Source organism: Homo sapiens, chromosome 7 (genome assembly GCF_000001405.40).
Source record: "Homo sapiens chromosome 7, GRCh38.p14 Primary Assembly".
NCBI lineage: Eukaryota > Metazoa > Chordata > Mammalia > Primates > Hominidae > Homo > Homo sapiens.
The window spans coordinates 134,694,316-134,716,123 of record NC_000007.14 but is presented as its reverse complement, the minus strand read 5'-3'; the positions used below and the strand labels follow the sequence as shown (position 1 = coordinate 134,716,123).

Below are 21,808 nucleotides of genomic sequence, written 5' to 3'. Positions count from 1 at the left end.
CACACTGTAAGATACCAATAACCTTATTTTTATTCTCACTATATTCTGTTTCAAAATACCATTGTATGGCTGCAGCAGACCAGCATGGCACATGTATACATATGTAACTAACCTGCACATTGTGCACATGTACCCTAAAACTTAAAGTATAATAATAATAATAATAAAACAAAATACCATTGTAACTTGGCAGGCATCGTAAAACTATTTTGCAAATTTTTACTGCATGAAGTACATCCAGTAACTTTTAGCTCCATAAAAGGTGAATCCCAATGACAAATAATTATTAATGTTTTCCTTGTCTCTGCATGACTTTATGAGAAAATTTTCCACACATGGCCTTCATTGACTGGCCTTCGACCTGGTCAGACTTGTCATTTTTATCTTGATACATTTCTTATTGTAAGCATAATTATCCCATTCCCACTTGTGGGGCAGAGGAAAATAAATATAAACATAAACTCTGTCTCATACACATATACATATATACGTATAAAATTTATAAACCTGAAGGCAAGAAAGTTTAATTCATTAAAACTACTACAATATGTTACTGCCATAAGACAATGCATAACATGTCCACTTGTATTGGATAACTGATTTTCACCCCAGAAGAGAGCACAATGCTGACCATATACACCCAAGCCCTACCCAGCAATTTAATGGAGCGTGGTCTTTCCCATGTTAATAGAGGGTGTATACTTGCAATAGTTTACTTTTGGGTACATGCACAGGCCCAAATTCAGGGACAGATTATAGCAGACCTACATGATCTGTTCAAAGACACAACTGTAAGACATTCAAATATATACACAAGAGCGAAAATATATTTCAAGAGAGAAATGCTGTTTCTGGGTTTGAACTTAACCAAGCTCACCCAGTAGTAGAAGTCACTGTAGTGGTGGTCTCTAGTATGTTAAAATCTGGTGCATGTGAAATTTGAGTGTGTATTTATTATAATTTCTTTTTCTAAAGAGTTGAAGTATATATATCTCACAATGAAGCTAGAGTTTTGTATTTGTGGAATCTTTGCAACAAGGCATAGCCTTGCCCCATGGGTAACATATGGCAACTCATTGAAGGAAAGAAGCTGAGCCAACTAATAAGGAAAACGCAGCTGCTCCCCTACTAGGCAAAGGGAAACCACAGCTGGTATTGAGGTAGGAGACTGGCAGGACTTGTTTTCCAGACCAGATAGGAAACTGCCCAGAACCAGCAAGTGGCACCAAGAAAGCAACCTGTACTTGCCCTAGCTGCCCATCAGCATAAGACACTCCTGCCAGTGCCATGACAGTTTACAAATGTCATGGCAACACCCGGAAGTTATCACCCCTTTCCACCACAAAACCTGGAAGTTACCACCCATTTTCTAGAAATTTCTGAATGACCTATCCCTTAATTTGCATTTAATTAAAAATGAGTATAAATACTGCTAACCAACAGCCCATATGCTGCTCCTCTGAGCAAACTGCCTATGAGCTAGCTCTATTGTGCAAGGAGCAGTCACTGAGCAGTGACACTGCTGCTTCAATAAACCTGCTTTCTTCCACTGCCAGTTCACTCTTGAATTCTTTCCTGAGCAAAGCCAAGAACCTGCCTTGCATCAGTACTGGCATGCAGAGAGGCAGACAGGAGTGGCCTAAGATGAGAGCAAGGTGGGCAGAGTTAGGTCTTCTCGATGGAGAAGTGGACAAACTTGAAGAGGAGGGACCTGAAAGGACCAGGGAGAACCTGCCAGAGGAAGGACAAGTCGGCTGGGAGGTGAAGGAGCATGGGATCTATCTACAATATGGATCTGCATGTTCTTGGGGTACCATGCAGTTGGGCTGGAACTTCTTCCTCTCCTCTAAACCAACTGTATTAGGCCATTCTCACACTGCTATAAAGAAATACAATAATTTGGATAATTTAGAAAGAAAAGAGGTTTAATTGGCTCACGGTTTTGCAGGCTGTACAGGAAGCATGGCACTTGGAGGCCTCGGGAAACTTTCAATCACGGCAGAAGATAAAGGGGAAGCAGGCACATCTTCCATGCCTGGAGCAGGAGGAAGAGACAGAGGTGGGAGGTGGGAGGTTCTACACACTTTTAAACAACCAGATCTAGCAATAACTCACTCTCAGGAGAACAGCACCAAAGGGGAAATCCATCCCCCTGATCCCATCACCTCCCACCAGGCCCCACCTCCAACATTGGGGATTACAAGTTGACCTGAGATTTGGGCAGTGACACAGACCCAAACCGTATCACCAACCCTCCCCAGTTCAAGACACTTTTTCTCTCTGCAGTTTGGAGTCATCTGAAATCACACCAGTTCTATTTCCTTTTCTTAACTTCATGAGTTTGGGCGTGCATTTTCTAAGCTACTGTTCTGTGGACCATCATTCCACAGGAAAAAACCTGTTTCCCACCAGAGATTAATATTAAGCTGAACTAAAATCAATGAGTTTCTTTATTGAAGGATATCAAGCCTTTATTATACCAATTTGAGGGGGGAGAATTTCCTAGGGGGGATTTATTATGTCATGTTTTCCATACTAATTCAATTTAAAAAAATGTTTCTTTTTGTAGCATACCTGTTAATTTCTCCTGAAACTCATGTCCCACAAAACACAGTCTGAGAAATCCTGCTTAGTGTAAGGCGCTGCATGTCCCGGAGCCCCCAGCTTTCACTCACCAAGGCAGCAAGTCATTCCCAACCTTCCCCACAGTCAGAGGGAACTGCATGTTTGGGGGCATGTTTGGGGGCCATCCATGTTTCCAACTAGATCCCTTAAAAGGAAATTATTTACTATGGTTATTTTCCACAGCACCATCCAGGTGAGAAGGAATAGGGGCTAGGTCAGGTAAATTTGGATTAGAGTGGAAATTAACATGAAGTGTAGGTTCTAGGCAGGCATTAAATAGAACTACCAAAGGGGTGTCCACAGGGTGTCTAGGAAACGAGGAATGAAAAGTGAGAGAGAGGATTATGAACACCAATGTCACTTATTTCCTGATGCTGACTAGTTAGGAAGTAATTTGGGGAAATCACCAGAACTTCGTCTGTCAATATGAAAGGTGGATTTAAAGTTCCTTTTCTGTTTTTGTACCTTTACCCTTCTCCCAGGTTATATATATCTGAGTCCCTTGTATATTATAGACTGTCAATAAATCCTTGAATGAAAGAGGGAAGGAGTGAATGGGAATTGCGTTAGTTCAAATTATAAAACACATAAAGTTTATTTTCAGGCATGTTTTCCTCTTGGATTTTAACGACTTTCTTCTCTTCTTTCCCTCTATTATGTAAACCCCACTCGAAGGCACGCCTGATTCCGTCTTAGACTGCTGTTTTATTCAAGGGTAGTTTGTTATTTCAATATGGGTCAGATCTCAGCTAAAAGACTGACTCTCTGACCTTATGGTAGGAAGAATCCCTTTGAGCATCAAAGTCTCCGCAGAGCCCTGCAATTTTACCACAAAAGAGAAAACCCACTCTTGAGTTCTGAGGATGAACAAATGTAAAATGATGAATTGATAACCCACCATCTTTAGTGTCTACTTTAATTCTAGAAGACATTCCAGGGATTGTCCCAGGTGGGACATTTTCCCAGAGACACAACTCCAGTGTCTTGAGCAGGAGTGTGGCTGCTTTGTGGGTGACTACAGGGCATGCAATGCGTGTATCCAGTTGAAACCACAGGGAAGAATTCTGGTGGCCGGGATGTAATTACCCAGTAATCTGGGGCATTTGTCTTCCGGGTCCCATCTCTCCACCAGTCCATAATCAAAGCAGGGCATTATGACTGCGCCAAGACAGATTCCAGACTAAATATTTTAAAAAGAAGATATTGTTGGCTGGACCTCCAAGTGAGATAGTTGAGAGAGATGTCTGATGAAGCAAAAGGTTTGGAGGAAATGGTAAGAGATCTGTACTTGTTGCTTGATTTTAGAGTATGCTGAAAACGAGTACTCTAAGCATTGTTTCAAGAATTAAAAAGGGAGAATGACAACTAGAGCAGAATCTTGCCTCAAGCCTCTCTTGGGAATTTCTTTTTTTCCTCTTTCCCAACTTCCCTCCCTCCCTCCCTCCCTCCCTCTCTCCCTCCTTCCCTCCCTCTCTCCCTCCTTCCCTCCCTCCTTTCCTTCTTTCCTTCCTTCCTTTATTTGGTACCTATACACCAGGAACTGTGTTAAGGTTACAAAGATAAATGGGAGCTGGTTCCTGCTCTGAACGTGTCCAGTGATCCCTTTCTCTTCCCTCCTCCACCAACCTTGCCTGAGCCTTCATTGTCTCCATTTTAACTTTTCTGTATTTTTTCTACACTTTACATAACAGCCTGTATTAGTTATAGTTTTCCAGAGAAATAGAACCAATAGGATATATATGGAGAGAGACAGACAGAGACAGAGAGAGAGACACACACACACACACACACACACACACACACACACACACACACACATATATATATATATATATATAGAGAGAGAGAGAGAGAGAGAGAGAGAGAGAGAAGCTGAGGTTGATTTTAAGGAATTGGCTCACATGATTATGAGGGCTGGCCAGGCTGAAGTCTGCGCAGCAGGCAGACAGGCTGGAGACCAGGGAAGAGCTGGTGTTGCTGCTGAAGTCCAAAGTCGGTCTGAAGGCAGAATGTATTCCTCTTTAGGGGACCTCTGGTTTTTTTCCTTCTTAAGGCCTTTGTGATGAGGCCTAACCACATCCTGGAGGATAACTACTTTACTCTTAGTGTAATTTAAATGTGAATCACCTAAAAAATACCTTCACAGTGACATCTAGACTGGTGTTTGATCACATATCTGGGTGGCACGGCCTGCCCTAGTTGACACGTAAAACTCACATCACACAGTCCCTCTCACCACTGACACCAGCATCCTCCCTAGACTCTGTTTCTTCTCGGGATTCTTCTCTGTACCTTACCCCACCTGTCCTCCCAACCACTTCCCTCACCCTCACAGGAACCCCGAGGCAACAGTGACAGCAGCTGACATTTACTGAGCTCCTCCTGTTTGCCAGACACTGTGTCACATGCTTTGCACGGATTTCTTACTTAATTCTCACAACTCTTTGAAGTAAGCACTTTTGTTATCACCTTATCTCAGCCAGAGAGGTTCGAAACCTTGCCGGAGGGCTTAGAGCTAGAGTACAGTGGGGCAGGGATTCAGAAACCAGTCAGCCTGACACCAGCCTGGGGGGTTCACTGCTGGGCCACACTGGCACCCTTCACATGCAGGGTGGCCCCTATAGGAAGCCTCCTCCCCTTCCCTTCCCCCTCCCATTGAGACTGTGAAAATCCTCAAGCACGAGAGGGTGCAACTGCTGGTTCGGTTAACCCCATGGGACAACACAGGGAGCGTGACCTTGGCGGTGGCAGAGCATGCGGGTACCTCTATGGGATGCCCTGCCTAGAGCCCGTGCTCCCCTACAGAGCAGGGCAGGCAGGGAAGTACAACCCAGTGTTGCCCTGGGGAAAGGCTTCCTGAACCCTGTGGCCAGGCCACAGCAAAACCCACTGCCGTGAGGCACTCTACAGTCATTTACAATCATTCTGGAGTAGAAAATCAATGACATGGGGAAATGTTCATGATACACTAAATTAAAAAGCCGGTTCTGCCTGTAATCCCAGTGCTTTGGGAGGCTGAGGTGGGCGGATCACCTGAGATCAGGAGTTGGAGACCAGACTGGCCAATATGGTGAAACCCCACCTCTACTAAAAATACAAATATTAGCCAGGCATGGTGGTGGGTGCCTATAATCTCAGCTACTCAGGAGGCTGAGGCAGGAGAATCACTTGAACCCTGGAGGCAGATGTTGCAGTGAGCTGAGATTGCACCACTGCACTCCAGCCTGGTGACAGAGCGAGATTCCATCTCAAAAAAAAAAAAAAAAGCCAGTTTCTAGAAGTTTGTAAATATGAGCTCTCAAAGCATGTATTACACATATTACACATGTAAACATACATATAGATGTGTATAAATATATGTACATACATAGAAAAAAACTGAAACGCTAGGCTCAAAAATGAAGTAGGATTATGGGTGGTTATTACTTTAGTCTTTATGTTTTCCTGCATTTTCCAAATTTTCTACAAATAAATATATGTTGTAGAAATGTAAAAAATATTGTATTATTCTGCTGCAATTAAAAGACTGGTCACATAGGAAGACATTTTGATACTTAACTGTTTCTGGGCCATTTAATCCTGTACCAATCTATTGTTAAAAATTAATTCCTGGCCGGGAGCAGTGGCTCACGCCTGTAATCCCAGCACTTTGGGAGGCTGAGGCAGGCAGATCACGAGGTCAGGATTTCAAGATCAGCCTGGCCAACATAGTGAAACCCTGTCTCTACTAAAAATACAAAAAATTAACTGGGCATGGTGGCGGGTGCCTGTAATCCCAGCTACTTGGGAGGCTGAGGCAAGAGAATTGCTTGAACCTGGGAGGCAGAGGTTGCAGTGAGCCAAGATCGAGCCATTGCACACCAGCCTGGGCGACAATGCCAGACTCTGTCTCAAAAAAATAAAATAAATAATAATAATAATTCCTGGAAATACAGGGCTCAAAAAATCCATATTGAAATTATTGGTTACAGATGGGATGTCAGTCCCTAAAGAGATAAGGTGGCCAGCCTGGGAGGGAGCATCAGCTCTCCCAAGAGGAAAATAATCCAACAAAGGTGTTTGGCTTAATGTCAAGAATTTCCATTGCAAAAATATTTTCCATTCTTTAAACAGAGCCTAATCCAAAAGAAACTTCAGATGCCCATGATGGTACTTTCCATTTTAAATCTCCACCTCCCGCTTATTTCGGTCTCAATAGCATTCTTGTGCTTTGTGAATGGTAAAGAAAAAGCTGGAAATTGTAAAGGTCTTTTTCAAATTGTCACCCATTTTATTAATCCCTCAAGTTGTAGTGGTGTGACTGAGTTTTTAAGCAGCATTCCAGGACTAATAAAACAAATAAGAGCTGTCTACTTTGCAAAGAGAAAAACTTATTCCAATTAACTTTCATGGATCCAAAAGCTTGTAAATCTTGATGTTATTTTCACAGGCTATGTATATGCCTTTAAATAACAATAATAAATAATCATACCATGTATCATATTATTTATACATTATCCCATTTATGCTCAAAATGTTCCCAAGACTCTGTATAACTTCTGTGGCATGAAGAAACCAAGGCCTCAAGCTGTTAAGTTGTTTGCCCAAGTACTCACAGCTGGCAAATAAGAAAGCCAGAACGTCTGCCTCCAAACAGAGTGTACTATCCACCTCACACTATCTCCTTCACATCTTAGAAGGTGGCTTGAGGTTGTGGAAACAGCCATAAGTCATTCAGACCAAGGTCTCATAAATTAAAGGGGTCATTCAACCAATGGCTGTCAGTGAAGAGTATTGAATGTGCACCGTAGTCAATGTATGATTCTATTTGGGGAGATGATCAGATGAATGGTCCCTACTGTTACCAAATTGAGTAATGGTATTTGGTCAAAAAATGATATGGGGTGGGGGGTGAAAAGGAGGTGGGGATGGTTAATGGGTACAAAAAAATAGGAAGAATGAATAATTTGATAGCAAAATAGGGTGACTATAGTCAATAATAATTTAACTGCACATTTTAAAATAACTAAAGGAAGATATAATTGGATTGTTTATAACACAAATGATAAATGCTTGAGGGGATGGATACTCCATTCTCCATGATGTGGTTGTTACACATTGCATACCTGTATCAAAACATCTCATGTACCCTATAAATATATACACCTACTATGAACCCACACAAATTTAAAATAAAATTTGAAATTAGAAAAAAATGAGGTGCCACTTTTAATATAATGAGACTGTGTGTGTGTGCATGTTGTAAACCTACTCCAAAGGCCTTAATTAGCACCTACGCCCTTGAAGGCACTGGGGACATTTTAGATATTGGGCAATGTGTGATTATCCTCACAAAAGAGGCTAGTTTCAGACTGATTTCACAATGCATGTTTGGTCACATTATGAAAAGTAGTCTGAAAAACTGAAAATGCTGCTTTTGTGTATTGATTTATTAACTTGTTAGTCAGGACACATGACTGTCAAAACCTTACCTATCATTAATACTTTCAGAGTCAAACTAAGGATTGACATTCAGGCACTATAAATCTCATATTTCATTTGCCCTCTGTATCCTTTTAAAATATATTACCTTTGGTTTGGAGTGATTTGAGGGTTTTCTTTTTTTAATTGGTGTTGCTATCTGTCTATCTATCTATCTATCTATCTATCTATCTATCTATCATCTATCATCTATCTATATGTCTATCTATCTCTGTAACTATATATTAGTTAGGAGCTATTTTCTTTTTTCTTTGAGATAGAGTTTTGCTCTTGTTGCCCAGGCTGGAGTGCAATGGTGCCATCTTGGCTCACCGCAACCTCCGCCTCCCGGGTTCAAGTGATTCTCCTGCCTCCTGAGTAGCTGGGATTACAGGCATGCGCCACCACATCTGGCTAATTTTTGTATTTTTAGTAGAGACAGTGTTTCTCCATGTTGTTCAGGCTGGTCTCGAACTCCCGACCTCAGGTGATCTGCCCACCTCAGCTTCCCAAAGTGCTGGGATTACAGGTGTGAGCCACCATGCCCAGCCTAGGGGCTGTTTTCTAAAAAATTGATATCTGAATCCTTCCTGTCCAGATCTTCATAATGTTACATTCTAGATCACTTATTTTTTGTGTGACTTTTCCTAGGAGCACTTGGTAATGTTGCCTTAAATATTACACTTGAAACAGAAAATTCACTAGGCCTCTAGTAAATATCAGGATGCTGATAGGCTAAGATCAAATTAGATGGTGTGGTATAGACCAAGTAGAAATGACTCTTCTGTATCAATTAACATATGTGATTCTTTGATAGTCCCTAGAAATAGGCCTTTTAATGTAGAGTAACTAGTAAATTTTACGCTAGAGTCCTTAAAAATAAAAAAGATTGCAAAAAACCAGTCATAATTCTTGATGGTATGATTCACTAACTTCTACCCTTCTGTATTTTGAACTTCTAAATCCAGGCCATATAGCAGTGTTTCCCAAACTTGTCTGTAATGAAGTTTTTACTGGTTCACAGAGCAGTTAGAAAAATTAACACATAGAGTAAATATAATAAATAAATGTATAAATGTATTCATGAATTGGGATGTGCTAGTTAAGCTAAATAATAATGCACCTCTAATATATAACCCTCAAATCTCAATTGTTTAACACAATAAAGGGTTATTTTGCAGTTCTATCACAGTCCATGAACGTGAGGACTGCTCCGGTGGTCATTCTGGGACCTGCACTCCTTCCATTCAGGGGCTCTGCCATCTTCTAGAACCTGGGAAGGGAGGGTAGAGAGGACACACGTGCACCTAGCCACCTGGCCCGGAGGAAGCATGCATCCCTTCTGCACTCCATTGCTAAGAACTAGTCACATGGCCCCACCTAAATGAAGGCGGGGGGTGAAAAAATGCAGTCCAGCAGCTTATGCTCAAAGGAAAGTATGCAGACATTAGCCAAAACCTAGCTGGAATATGCCACAAGGTTAAGGCTACCTATCATCCTTTCTTGGAAAGGAGGCTCTTTTATCCTTAGTCTATGTTTTTATCCTCCTTTTGTTAATGTGGAAAAAGTCCTTTCTTTTGTGGAAAACTGCAGCCTCAACTTGGGCTCAAGAGATCCTCCCGCCTTAGCCACCTGAGTAGCTAGGACTTCAGGCACACACCACCAGGCCCTGCTAATTTTTTTGCGTGTTTGTTTTTTGTACAAATGGAGTCTCGCTATGTTGCCCAGGCTTGGTCTTTAGCCCCTGGCCTCAAGTGATCCTCCCACTTTGGCCTCCCAAGTATTTGGATTACAGCAAAAACCAGGGTGCCTGGTCCCTAATTTTAAAATGAATTCAAAATACTAGAACCACTGGCTTACAGAACACTCAAATATTAGAAAGCTACTGCTTGAATTTACTGACTCACTTCATAAAACTACTTCTAACTTTGAATGGTATAGCATTTGGCCACAGGTACTCTTTGAAATTGCAAAATATTTTTCTGCTATTTCTTTCTAGAGACTCCAACAGCTACATAAGTGCAGGAGAACCAAAAACAAAACAAAGCCCTTTTTTTCATTGTTCGGTTGGCAGGAATAATTCATTGTTTGGTTGGTAGAAATAATCACATCATTCTAGTATTCTAGTATTCTCCACTCATCAAAACCATGTGCTCCCCCAAGGGATCTGGACACATTACCAGGAAAGTGGATCCCATTGGAATTTAACATCAAATGTTGCAACTTTAGTAAAATTATATTTGCAAAAGCTTTTCTAATAAATATAACTGTGCTTCAGAAGAATGGTCAACAGTGGAAGCAGCTGTTACTACTGGACGCTTTTTAGCCGTGTTACTGTCCTCTGCTTACCTGGATCTGTTAGGATGGTCTTTCCCTATCATTACAGACATGTCAGTGATCCCACAGAGTGTCCAATTTTCTGTCTAGCACCAGAAGCACCCTCCTGAGAGGGACACAAATCTATACCGGCACAGTTCTCAGCATGTGGTAGCTGCTCACTACATGCTGAATGAAGGACAGAGATCATCTCTTTCTGGTATCAGCAGATTGGCTCCTATGTTCTTGTTTGCTGTCCGTTTATTATTTGTACTTGCAACTCTGCGAGTTGCTTCACTCTTCAAAACAGGCTTGAGTATATCACCACCCAATCTCTTACAACCATCCCTAACAATCATTCTTGTTGTTCATTGGCTGATCTAAAGATTTGTTAAGTCAGAGTGGGATAGGGTGACAATTTGTAACACTTCTTTTCAATTCCCAAAGATCACTGATTTTTCTCTTTATTGGGTTATAGACAATAATGTGCACTCTTCCCTTAACCCACTGATTTGTTTCCACTCTCCAACAACAGTAAAAATTATAGCAATCCTATGTTATGCATCTTCTATGTTCCAGAAACAATGTTGGGTGCTCGACATAAGCATATCATCTCATTTGACACTGACCTTAACTCTGCGTGTGGGTGTTATTAGCCCTGCTTGATAGGTAAGGAATCTGAGGTTCAGCGAAGCATGCCTCAGTAACCAAAAGTATCGTATTATTTTCATAATTATATTGCAGTGTGGCTTTGAGGTTTGGCAGATGTGAGCTTGAACCCTAGCCCTGACACTCACTGTAGTGGGACTTTGGATGAGTTGCTCAACTCTCCTGGACCCATTTCCCCGGGGTGCAAGGAGTCCCAGTGAGGGCCAAGAACTCCCTTTGGGTGTGAGGAAGAGGGTTTGCAGGTGGTACCATGGAGTGTATGGTTCTTGATCAGTTCACCCCTCTCTAGGGTACTCTGGGAAGGTCAAGTTCTCAAACTCCCCAAAGTCTCAAAATCCCCAAGAAGCCCCTTTCTGGAATTTGGGGTTTGCTTATGACTCCCTAGGAGTAGCTGAAGTTTTTCTAAGAGGACACGAACTTCTCACATTTCCTGAAATACTTTTCAGAGGGGTCTCCAGGGCCCACCTCAGAAAAAGTCTATTGGCAATGAGGTCCTGTGGTTTCTCAAAGTTAAATTGTGATAGGTTTGGCCCTTCCATCTGTTCTAATGAGCAAAGGGACTTCTTTGCTTGGTAGTTAGCCCTGCGTAGTGGGTGTATCCCAGGTCCCTACAACATTCAAAGTACTACCACACAGTGTTTACTAAGGTGACCCAGGAAAATTTCTTTAGCCATTATATGCAGAAAAAAAAAAAAGTGGAATGAAATCGCAGAAAGGCTTAGCCAAGGGCACTTTGAAATTCACAATACTCTATCAGAAAAGTCTCTACAGAAACAGTACTCCTGTAGGCTCTTGGTTATAAATATTTAAAGGTCTGAACACACGGAATGCCAAATTTGTCTATCGGCTCTGCAAATAAAACAACCTATTAATTATCCATTAGTACTACACATTTCCTAATTTATACATGCCTCAAATTGAGCTGTCCCTCCCTTATACAGTGGTTTGGCTGCTCCCTGGGGTGACCTAAGTGAGTCAGCTGCAAAGGAGACTGATGCTTTTATTTGCAGTTTGTTCTCAGCCTTTGACCTCAAAGAAACTGCTTTCGTAAGCGGGTAGGACTCTGCTTGGTGGGGGTGGCAGGGGGCAAATGCTTTCAGAACAACCCATCAGTGACATCCTGTGACCTGCAACGAAAGGCCTATGAGAGTAAGGGCCTCCTTTCTCAGCACGCCTTTCTCCTCACCCTAGTAATGCCTCAGACCATGTTTACGCCAGAATTAACATACTTCGGGGAAGCATGCAAAAGGAAATCAAATCTCCCTTTGCCTGGGCTTTGAGAATTTCTGAGCGATTTCTCACCTCCATTCTGCCTTATGCTTAGCTCTCTGAACACGGTGGCTTAGAAGAAGAAGCAGCACTGAGATCAAACTCTGCTTCTCTACCCCGAACACCTTCTGTCTGAAAAGAAGCAGAGAAAAAAGAAAGAGCTGGTCCTTGTTTTGTCGGTGAGAAGAATGGACCACATCAGTGGTTCTAAACCTGAAGCCTAAGAGTCAGCTGAGATGCTGGTTAAAATCCAGATTCCTGGGTCCCATCCCCAGTGGCCCTGGTTCATTAGTTCAAATTCCCCTGCGGATGGCTTCCAGACTAGCTTCTAGGGAGACATGGTAATCACTTAGTCCACCCAAGCTGATACAGCCTAAGGTTTTATAGGTCATTGACCCCCGCTATTCCTGGCAGCCTGGGGCCAGACAGCCAGTTCTCATCAAGCCTTTAACCAGTCACTGCCTCACTGATGTTAGATGTGACCTGGGCTTCCTGGTCAAATTCCTGATCATCCTGTCTTCCTCAATAATAACAACTCAAAGTTCCCGTGTTCTTCTTCCTCTGTAGTCAGAGATACCTTAAAAGCAAGGCAAAGAGAAACAAGAGAAGCTGGTTTATAGCTGAAGGGAAAGGCTCTTTGATCCATCTTTCTCTCACCACTGCCTGCTCCTTCTGTTCCATTCCTTCCTGTAATAGGCACAGTCATCATTTTTATGTTTTTTAAATAAATAAAAGCACAATCATGTCAGGGCTGAGCAGCACCTTTGAGAGGATCTGATCCCCTTCCTTACTGTTCAGGCAAGAAAACTGAAGACAGAGGTTAAGGAACTTGCCAAACGTCACAGCCAGCAGAGGTAGTGGTGGGATTTGAACCCAGGCAGTCTGGCTCCAGCACGCAGGCTTGTAGCCAGAATGTTCCACAATGCATAGATGCAATAAGAAAGCTGATCTAATAGCACAAGACAGGCGAGCATAACAATGTCGGGAAGACCCATGCAGAGGGCAGGGGAAAGGTTATCCTTGTGCTATTCTTGTAATTTTGTTCAACAAAATTGTCAGCATGTGGGCAGAAAAAGAGGCAAAGCCACACACTGTCTTAACCATTTGTAAGCACAGACTATATCACAAAGGGGATTAAAGCTCACATGGTCGGATTCTGGCCTCTCTCACTCCCTTCTCCTAACTCACAAGAAGAGTCAGGCAGCCTGGGCGGGACCGGACCTCTCATGGGCTCCAGCAGCCTGGAGTTCTTCTTCCCATGCTGCCTCTTCCCAACTGCATGGGTATTGTTTCTTCTGTAAATCGGGGAGAGGATTGTTCAACGGGATTACTGTGGGTGCTTTCCAACTCTGAAGTTGCAGGTGTGTCCCACCCTTGAGTGGCAGGGGTAGCTTTAGTGTAGCTTTCTATGCAGCTGAGGGGGACAGTAAATGCATGATCACATGCATTTTTACAGACTGGTTTTGGGTCGATTCATACCTCAAACTCCATGATGGAGAGAACTTTCATAGCCCTTGTAGCTCCTCTCAGCATCTAGAGCAGGATTCTGCTGGTGACAGGTATTTAGCAAATATGGCAGAGTGGCTGTTCCCAGGCCCAGAGCCACTTGCGGGTCCCCCAGAATCTTGATAAGACTCCTCCTTCCATAAAGCTTCTTCCCCACTCCTCCTATCCAAGACTGGATTTAGGGGGCTCAGGATTCTACAAACAAAGCTGAGTGACCCTGTGACCTTGTCATCTCACAGTGACTAGACAAGAAGATAGCCTATCTATCTCCCTGACTCCTGGGAGGCTGCTCCTCCTGGTCTTTATAGAGGCCTGGCTGGAGACAAACTATTGGCCATTTTGCTTCTTGCTTGTTTTGCCTTGGGTTTTTCACAGTTTTCTTGATAAAACAAAAGGTGTTCAGCCTCTTAAAGTTTTTGCCCAGTTCTTACCCTTGACAACAGCACCTCATCACCAATAGTCAGTAAATTTCATTTCTCCCATATCCATATTTCCCTTGCTTCCAGGGTAGGGGAATGGGTTTTGGCCCTGGTTTCATACAGCTGCAGAATGATTTCCAGAATGACGTCCCATGATGGCCATGTGAGAGGAAACAGGCACGAACTGCCACCTGGGAGTGATTTCTGGTGAGACATTTCATCTTCCATGGTGGCTGGCTTAACAGTCAGGCTGGTGAAAGCCAAAAGTTCATCCTCCAGGAATGTTCTGGAGGTTATGCCGCCTGGAGGTAAAGGGTTATTCTAAGCCAGTCTCAGAACTTTGGACCTTTGATGTCTAATTCAATGGTTAGAACATGGGCTAAATGCTTTTGATCCCTAGATGGGGCCAGTGAGCTTGGTTTAATTCAGTGGCCTAAAGCCCACCACTGACTATGTTGGTGAATTTCAGTGTAGTTATTCAACAGGAAGACCAAAAGGAGAGGCTTCACCTCAACTCCTCTCAAGCTGGTGTGCTATCCCAAAGCAATTTGAAATGCCGACATTGATTTGGCAATGATGTATATGAAGGAAGAGTTATGAAGCTCAGTATTAAAGACTGACGTTTCTACTTCTTCCATGCTTTCGTTATGTTAATGTCGCCTCCACATTACCTTCAGATGGAAAGAAAGAACATCACATGAATGGTCAACTACAAAAATTAACTATTTTCAGTCCTGGATTAGGTAAAAAATAATGTATATGGCAAATCATGAAGTTAAGTATTTTCCAAAAATATTTTTTACTGCCTTAACATACTGGAAAAGCAAAAGAATAAAGATGTTCTATTCAAGAATGTAAGTTTATAAATAAGTGGGGGAAAGAAAGGAACATGAGGCCGGGTGCAGTGGCTCACGCCTGTAATCCCAGCACTTTGGGAGGCCGAGGCGGGCGGATCACCTGAGGTCGGGAGTTCGAGACCAACCTGACCAACATGGTGAAAACCCGTCTCTACTAAAAATACAAAAATTAGCCGGGCGCAGTGGTGGGCACCTGTAATCCCAGCTACTTGGGAGGCTGAGACATGAGAATAGCTTGAACCCAGGAGGCGGAGGGTGCAGTGAGCCGAGATCATGCCATTGCACTCTAGCCTGGGCAACAGAGCGAGACTCCATTTCAAAACAAAACAAAACAAAACAAAACAAAATGCAAAAAAAGAAAGGAACATGATCAGGGAACTGGGAGGACCTGGGAGAGTGTGAGTCCACATGGATGAGGATCCAAGCTCAGAGAGGCCATGTTCTTTCCTAAGGTCACACAGCTTAGATAAGGGTTAAAATAAGAGAACATTTAACCCATTTATACCCGAGATTGCAATTTTTGAATTTTTGCAATCAGACCTTGGTGATGACCCTAAGCAGTAGGATATAAATAACTCCCACGTGCTCAGCGTTCCAGTAATGGAACACTAGGCATAAATGGGTTTTAAACAAGTAAAAAGAAAAACTCATTTTTCTGATTCCTAGTATAGTGCTTGTTCCTCTACATAATGTTGCTGTCTAGATTTTTTTTTTTAGATTGTTCATCCATTTTGGAAGCCTAATTGGCAACATAATGGAATTTTCTGAAATCCACAGAGAGAAAAAAAGAGCCAACTACATTCAGTTTTTTTTTGTTGGCTTGTTTTGTTGGAATGTATAAACAATTCACCAACAGACATCATTTCATAGTCTGAAAGGAGTGGAGAATTAAAGAGATTTTGTGCTCAACCTCTCAGTAGAGGAAAGCCCTGTGACATCAATGCACAAGGCTATGGTTGAATTATTTTGGATTTGAGGTATGTGTGTGGGATTTGAGGCATGAAAAGAGGTAAGAGAGGAATTAAAAGGAATTGTTGCTTTCTGGAGAGCCCCGAGTTCAGATACAATGACAGTGAGCTGATCTACGTCTCTTCTTATAAGGAAAATACCATCACTCAGCTACATTTCTGAGAAAGAGAAGCTTTCTGTCTAAAAGAGGACCACAATGAGTTTGTTGAGCTAAATGACTCTTTTGAAGGAATGTTGTAACAAGGAATGGCTAAACGTGATTTGAAATCAGCTGGGTTATTCAGAAAACTTGCCTATTTACATGAGCGCATCCAGCCATTCACGGTTGCCCACGTAGTGCAAATCCTTTTGCTTCTCCATCACTGGAACGCCTTTCCTTGGGGCGAGCCTCTTCTCAGCCTTCAGGAGCCAGCTCAAATTGCACCTAATAAAGTGTAGCCTTCTCATACTGGCCCAAGGCCAAACTCCTTTGTCAGCTTTGCATCTATACCTCAATATGGAATTTACCAAAATGATTCCTTTCTGCCTTTCCTTCTCCATTTGATCATCAACTCCTCAAGATTAAGGACAGGGTCATATTTATCTTTACACCCTAGTGCTTAATACAGTGCCTGTACATGTGATGGTTGATTTTATGTGTCAGTTTGGGGGCACAACAAACGTCATGCACTGTTGTTTGGTCAAACATCAGCCTAGATGTTGCAGAGAAGGTATTTTAAAAGATATAATTGATATTTAAGTGAGTTGACTTTGAGTAGATTACCATACATCATGTGGGTGACGCTCATCCAATCAGCTGGAGGCCTTAAGAGAAAAGACTGAGGCCCTACAAAGGGGAAGGAATTCTGCCTCCAGACTCAAGTCTGCAATGTCACCTCTTGCCAGAACTTCCAGCCTGCTGGTCTGGGCCTGCAAATTTCAGACTTGCAGTTCCCACACTTTCTTTTAAAATGAATCAATCTCTGTCTCTCTATCTTTCTGTCTCTCTCCATATATATGTATATGTCCAAATATATATGTGTATATATTGAATCAATATCTTGTTGATTCTGTTTCTCTGGAAAACATGGAGTAATACAGCACATGTTTAGTAAGAGTTTAGTGAACCACCAACTTAATAGCAAGGAAAAGGAAGACGGCAAGTAGGGCTGAAGGCTGGACGGGAGAGGGAAAATGCTGGAAAGTATATGAGTAGATAGAGATTGAATAACCAGGGAAGAAACTGCATGCCACTCTTTTTAAGATAATGATGTCTACCTTTATTATGCACCTGGGTACCATATGTGCATAGAAATATTTTAATGCAATTGGATTTCCTTGTATTTTAGAGACTCTCATGTAAATATCAAACTGTAAGGTAGAATGAGATTAAGATATTTAAAAAGGGATTTAGGCCAACATAAAGCACATATAATAAAGGGTATTTATGTTTTATGGAGGATTTTCTGGAATCTTTAGAATCTTTGGGGACTGGATTAAGTCCCTGGGATTCCTAAACCCTTAGGAGTCCTCCAACTATTTTCAGTATTTTAAAAGTCACATTGAAGTCCTACCCCTGCCTGCTAAGCCTGCACAGTCTCGTTAAAATGTCAAATTTTGTTTGCTTTGGGCTAGAATTCTGTTAACCAAGTTTGATGGGGTTGGTTATCTTTTGCTGCCCAATATCTCTAATTGGCAATTGCACATATCTTGGAATAACTTTTTAAAAATGGAAGCATGGATAAACTAATTTTAAAATGCAGGTTGTTCGATAGCAAAGTCTTTTAAAACAAAGGAGGCACAAAAGGTGGAGAAAAAGAGGTAATGAAAGGAGTTTCTAGTGATGGGCAGGTGAGGAGCCTCATAATGGATAATTACTGAGCTCCTGAAAGGCCCAAGAGTTGAGTAAAGTCAGTGCAGTATCTGGTTAGCCACAAAGTTCACGGTGGTCCAAAGTTAAATGTCCTGAGTTTGCACATGCAGCCAAACTCATGCACAGATGCCACTAGAGAGATGGCTCAAGAGAAGCCACCACAGCAAGCCAGAGCATCCAGGTGAGATGCAACATGCTTACGGCAACTGCAGCAGCACTGTTCATTCAGCCTCGACCAAGGTAGGCCAAGGAGCTCCACAACTCAGCCCAACTTTGGGCCCCATCTCTGCCCCTCACTAAGCCTTTGACTTCTTTGTGCCTCAGTTTTCCCATTGGTAAAATAATTGATAATGATGGGTTCCAGGGTTGTTGCAATAAATAGTGTAACATATAAAGCACCCAGACCAATGACCGGAACAAAGCAAGCCTCCAATGCAGGTGGATTCTTGTTACACCTTAGGCACTGTGCCAAGAATCTTGCACACACCTTTTCCTAGTCCCCAGAACAATCCCCCAAGGAAAGCACTATTATTGTCTCCATTTCACAGATGAGTTTAAGGAAATTGTCTAATGTCACTCAGCTCATCCGTGGCAGAAACTGGACTCAAACAAAGCCTTGATATTACCAACCAGGGTGTGCCTGCCTGGGGGACACCAACTTACCTCACTCACTGTGTGCCCTGGGGCAAGTCACCTGGCCTCCCTGAGTGTGCATTCTTTCATCTGTAAAAGTAGAGGGTTATTTTCCAATTTCAATAATATATGTATTATGGTTATGTATGAGGTCATCATTGGGGAAAGCAGGGTGAAGAGCACATATCCACCCTCTAGACTCATGTTTTAACTCCTCCTAAGCTAAAATGATTCCAAGTAGAAAGTTTACAAACCACTGTAGGGATACACTACTTGGCAATTTTCCTTGTGTTGGGCACATACATGGTGCTCAATCAGTGCTTCTCGATGTGATTTGTTTGATTTCTAGACGCTAGAATGTGACCAGTACTGACCATATTGGTTTTTTTTTTCTTTTTTTTTTTTATTATACTTTAAGTTTTAGGGTACATGTGCACATTGTGCAGGTTAGTTACATATGTATACATGTGCCATGCTGGTGTGACATGAAAAACAGGTCTCTACAAAGTCTCTTGATTTAAGTAGCAAAAACAAAGAATCTGAGTTGATGGAAGCATTTTATTCTTTAAAAAAGTATCTCTCGGCTGGGCGCGGAGGCTCACGCCTGTAATCCCAGCACTTTGAGAGCCCGAGGCGGGTGCATCACGAGGTCAGGAGATCGAGACCATTCTGGCTAACACGGTGAAACTCCGTCTCTACTAAAAATACAAAAAAAATTTAGCTGGGCGTGGTGGGAGGCGCCTGTAGTCCCAGCTACTCGGGAGGCTGAGGCAGGAGAATGGCGTGAACCCTGGAGACAGAGCTTGAAGTGAGCCAAGATCGTGCCACTGCACTCCAGTCTGGGCGACAGAGCGAGACTCCATCTCAAAAAAAAAAAAAAAAAAAAGGTATCTCTCATGGTATTAAAATTTTACATATTTAAAATTAAAAGAAAAAAAACTAGGAGGTTGGAGGCAGAGATCTTTAAGGCCCCTTCCTGGGGTAAAACCCTTGTTCAGGATAGAACAAGCCACTCGTTGCAGGTCCCCTCCCCAACCCCCCTCGAACAGAGGCGGGGTTCTGTGCATGCCCTGCCCAGTGCCTGAGGCTGCCAGTCACACCTCCCTGTCTCCTTTCAGTTTAGACACTGACCTCCCTGGTAAACATGAGTGTGTCCAACTTCTACCCTTGAAATTACTGTAGCCGCCTTCGGGAGCAGCTGGAAACCCTTTCTGCTAGGTGTGTTTTGTCTGATCACATCTGGCCAAGGTGGAGGTGAATACAGAACTAAACAGCTCTCTTTCTGTGTCTTGGGGAGCAGTGAAAACCTGGGCTCAGGCAGGTGGGCTCCAACCACTTTTCCCAGAAATAGCCACAAAGGGGTTCTAAAGAAATAAGTAAATAAAAATAAAAGCCCAGTGTTCTCTTTTTGATTGAACACCCCGTTAACTACCTGGAGTTTTGTTCAGGACAGAGAGCTCTGTGTCTCTTAATTTGTTACACAAAAATTAAGCAGAGCTGGACACATGAGTCAACCTCTCTGTGCCTCAGTTTCCCCATCTGTTGTCAGTAAGCTTCTGCTCTGTGAGAAGCACTTTACTTATATGCTGGAAAGGGAGGGCATGGGAGGGAAATAGAATAGAAATGAAGGGCTTCTTTTTTCTTATTTTAATCCGTGGCCACACTGTAAAGCAGCCCATTTTAAAAACTCGGCTGTCAGAAGGAAGTCAGCAAGACCATACCAGTGGGGCCAGGACCAGGCTGAACAGAAACAATTGACGCGGTTCTAGCTTGGTTCCTTCACAAATAGCTCTCAGTGGGAGCTGCTCCTCAAGGCCAGGCCTCCTGGGTCGTCCTGGGCGTCAGATGGAAATGATTTGGGCACATCCGGTATGGCCTGAATCTGATCCTTAGGGTAAGATCTGAGAAAGAAAAGAAAGAGAAGGAAGAAGGCAAACTGATTCCCTTAAAAACTATGCATACTGAAAACTTGATATTTAATGCTCGCCCCTTAGAGCTGTATTCCTAATTATTGGTTTGTAAGACACAACATGATTTTCCCCCTAATTCTTTCCAAAAATGCATTCCATAAATGGTTAGCATCCCTGCCAGTGGCCTCAGTCGACTCACATACCAGCTTTAAGGTCAATCCCTTTGAAACCAATGAATCAGTCCCTTGAGTTAGGGGATTATTTCCAGATTCCTATAGCTGCGGGCCTTTTTTTTTTTAAGTTGAAAATGATCATGTTTCTTTGTAGCTGCTAATTTTTAGAGAGAAATAGACAGTGGCAGCAGTGCATGTACACAATAGCTGTGACATCCTCTAAGGCCCCTTAGCACACTCTAAGACACTCCACCACCCACTTCCTTGTTGCGTTGGCTCTTTCCTAAGGGCTCAAAACTCTCTGTGTTCAGAATGTCCAAGAAATTTCCATACATGTTATTGAGGTTTTGCCATTATGATTTGTCATATTACGGAGAGGTGGTGAAACATGGTGGCTTAACACATGGGCTCCAGAACAAACTGCCCAGCTTTGAAGCCCAACTTTGCCACTTGTCCCTGTGTGACCTTGAGCAACTTACTTAACGGCTCTGTGCCTCAGTTTTCTCACCTGTAAAATGGGATCATATTAGTACCTACTTTATACACAAATATGTATAAAGTGCTCAAGCAGGGCTTAGACAGAATTAGTTCCACACAAGTGTGAGTTACTATTACACAGTGTTTTTAGGTAGGGCTTTGCACCACCAGGGACTGCTCTGATGACTTTTAACCATCAACATGGAAGATGACCAGAAGAATCTGGGGACAAATGAAAATGCATGCAGAGAATGAAAGGAAGGATGCCGAGTGGCTTTGTGACTCTTCTGAGGACATTAAGTTTATTTTCTTTAAAAAAGGCTGATGACGGAGGGAATTATAGACTGTAAGTACCAGGGAGTGCTCAAAGACCACGAGGCTCTCCTCCTTATCGTAGAGCCTGTTGTCAGGAAGTTGAGTGCAGAACTTGTGCCAGCCCCTGGGGTCTCTCAGTCCTCAGCCCCTAGGCCCAATTCTTCCCATTGCTCGGTGCTGCCTCTCCTGGGGGAGAGATGTAATGCCAGGACCGGGTCCTCAGCTCTCCTAGTGTTGATTCTACAGCACTCAGATGGTTGGCCTTGTTTTGAGTTTCGTCTTCTCTGATTCCCTACATATTTTTTGCAGGACCATTTTGCCCAAATGCAATTTTCTCACCCCACTCCCAGGCTTACGA

The 21,808-nt window shown here is 42.7% G+C and overlaps 1 protein-coding gene and 1 long non-coding RNA gene across 8 annotated transcripts in view, besides 2 other annotated features; one reads left to right on the top strand and one right to left on the bottom strand.

Annotated features, from left to right (window-relative positions):
• CALD1 (caldesmon 1) overlaps window positions 1-4,625 on the bottom strand; it is a 259,231-nt gene extending 254,606 nt beyond the window's left edge. For 2 of the 4 annotated variants that reach the window (NM_001438770.1, NM_001438779.1), the window contains exons 1-2: window positions 4,527-4,625; window positions 1,939-2,035 (exon numbers count right to left, since the gene is read on the bottom strand). The gene's annotated coding sequence lies outside the window, so the exon portion shown is untranslated. The remainder of the gene's footprint in view (window positions 1-1,938; window positions 2,036-4,526) is intronic. The other 2 variants (NM_001438769.1, NM_001438778.1) reach the window with 1 other exon arrangement.
• Window positions 1-21,808, top strand: part of LOC124901750 (uncharacterized) — a 224,798-nt gene that overhangs the window by 127,761 nt on the left and 75,229 nt on the right. The gene's annotated exons all lie outside the window — the stretch shown is intronic.
• Window positions 12,152-12,362: a silencer, noted in NCBI's record as "fragment chr7:134388514-134388724 (GRCh37/hg19 assembly coordinates)". NCBI's record gives its function as "represses an EF-1alpha promoter that drives an FKBP-Casp9 reporter gene in an ReSE screen in K562 erythroleukemia cells {active_cell/tissue: K562}" and the evidence as "EXISTENCE:reporter gene assay evidence [ECO:0000049][PMID:32094911]".
• Window positions 12,933-13,227: a silencer, noted in NCBI's record as "tiled region #6861; HepG2 Repressive non-DNase unmatched - State 21:Repr". NCBI's record gives its function as "represses a minimal TATA promoter and a strong SV40 promoter by Sharpr-MPRA in HepG2 cells {active_cell/tissue: HepG2}" and the evidence as "EXISTENCE:reporter gene assay evidence [ECO:0000049][PMID:27701403]".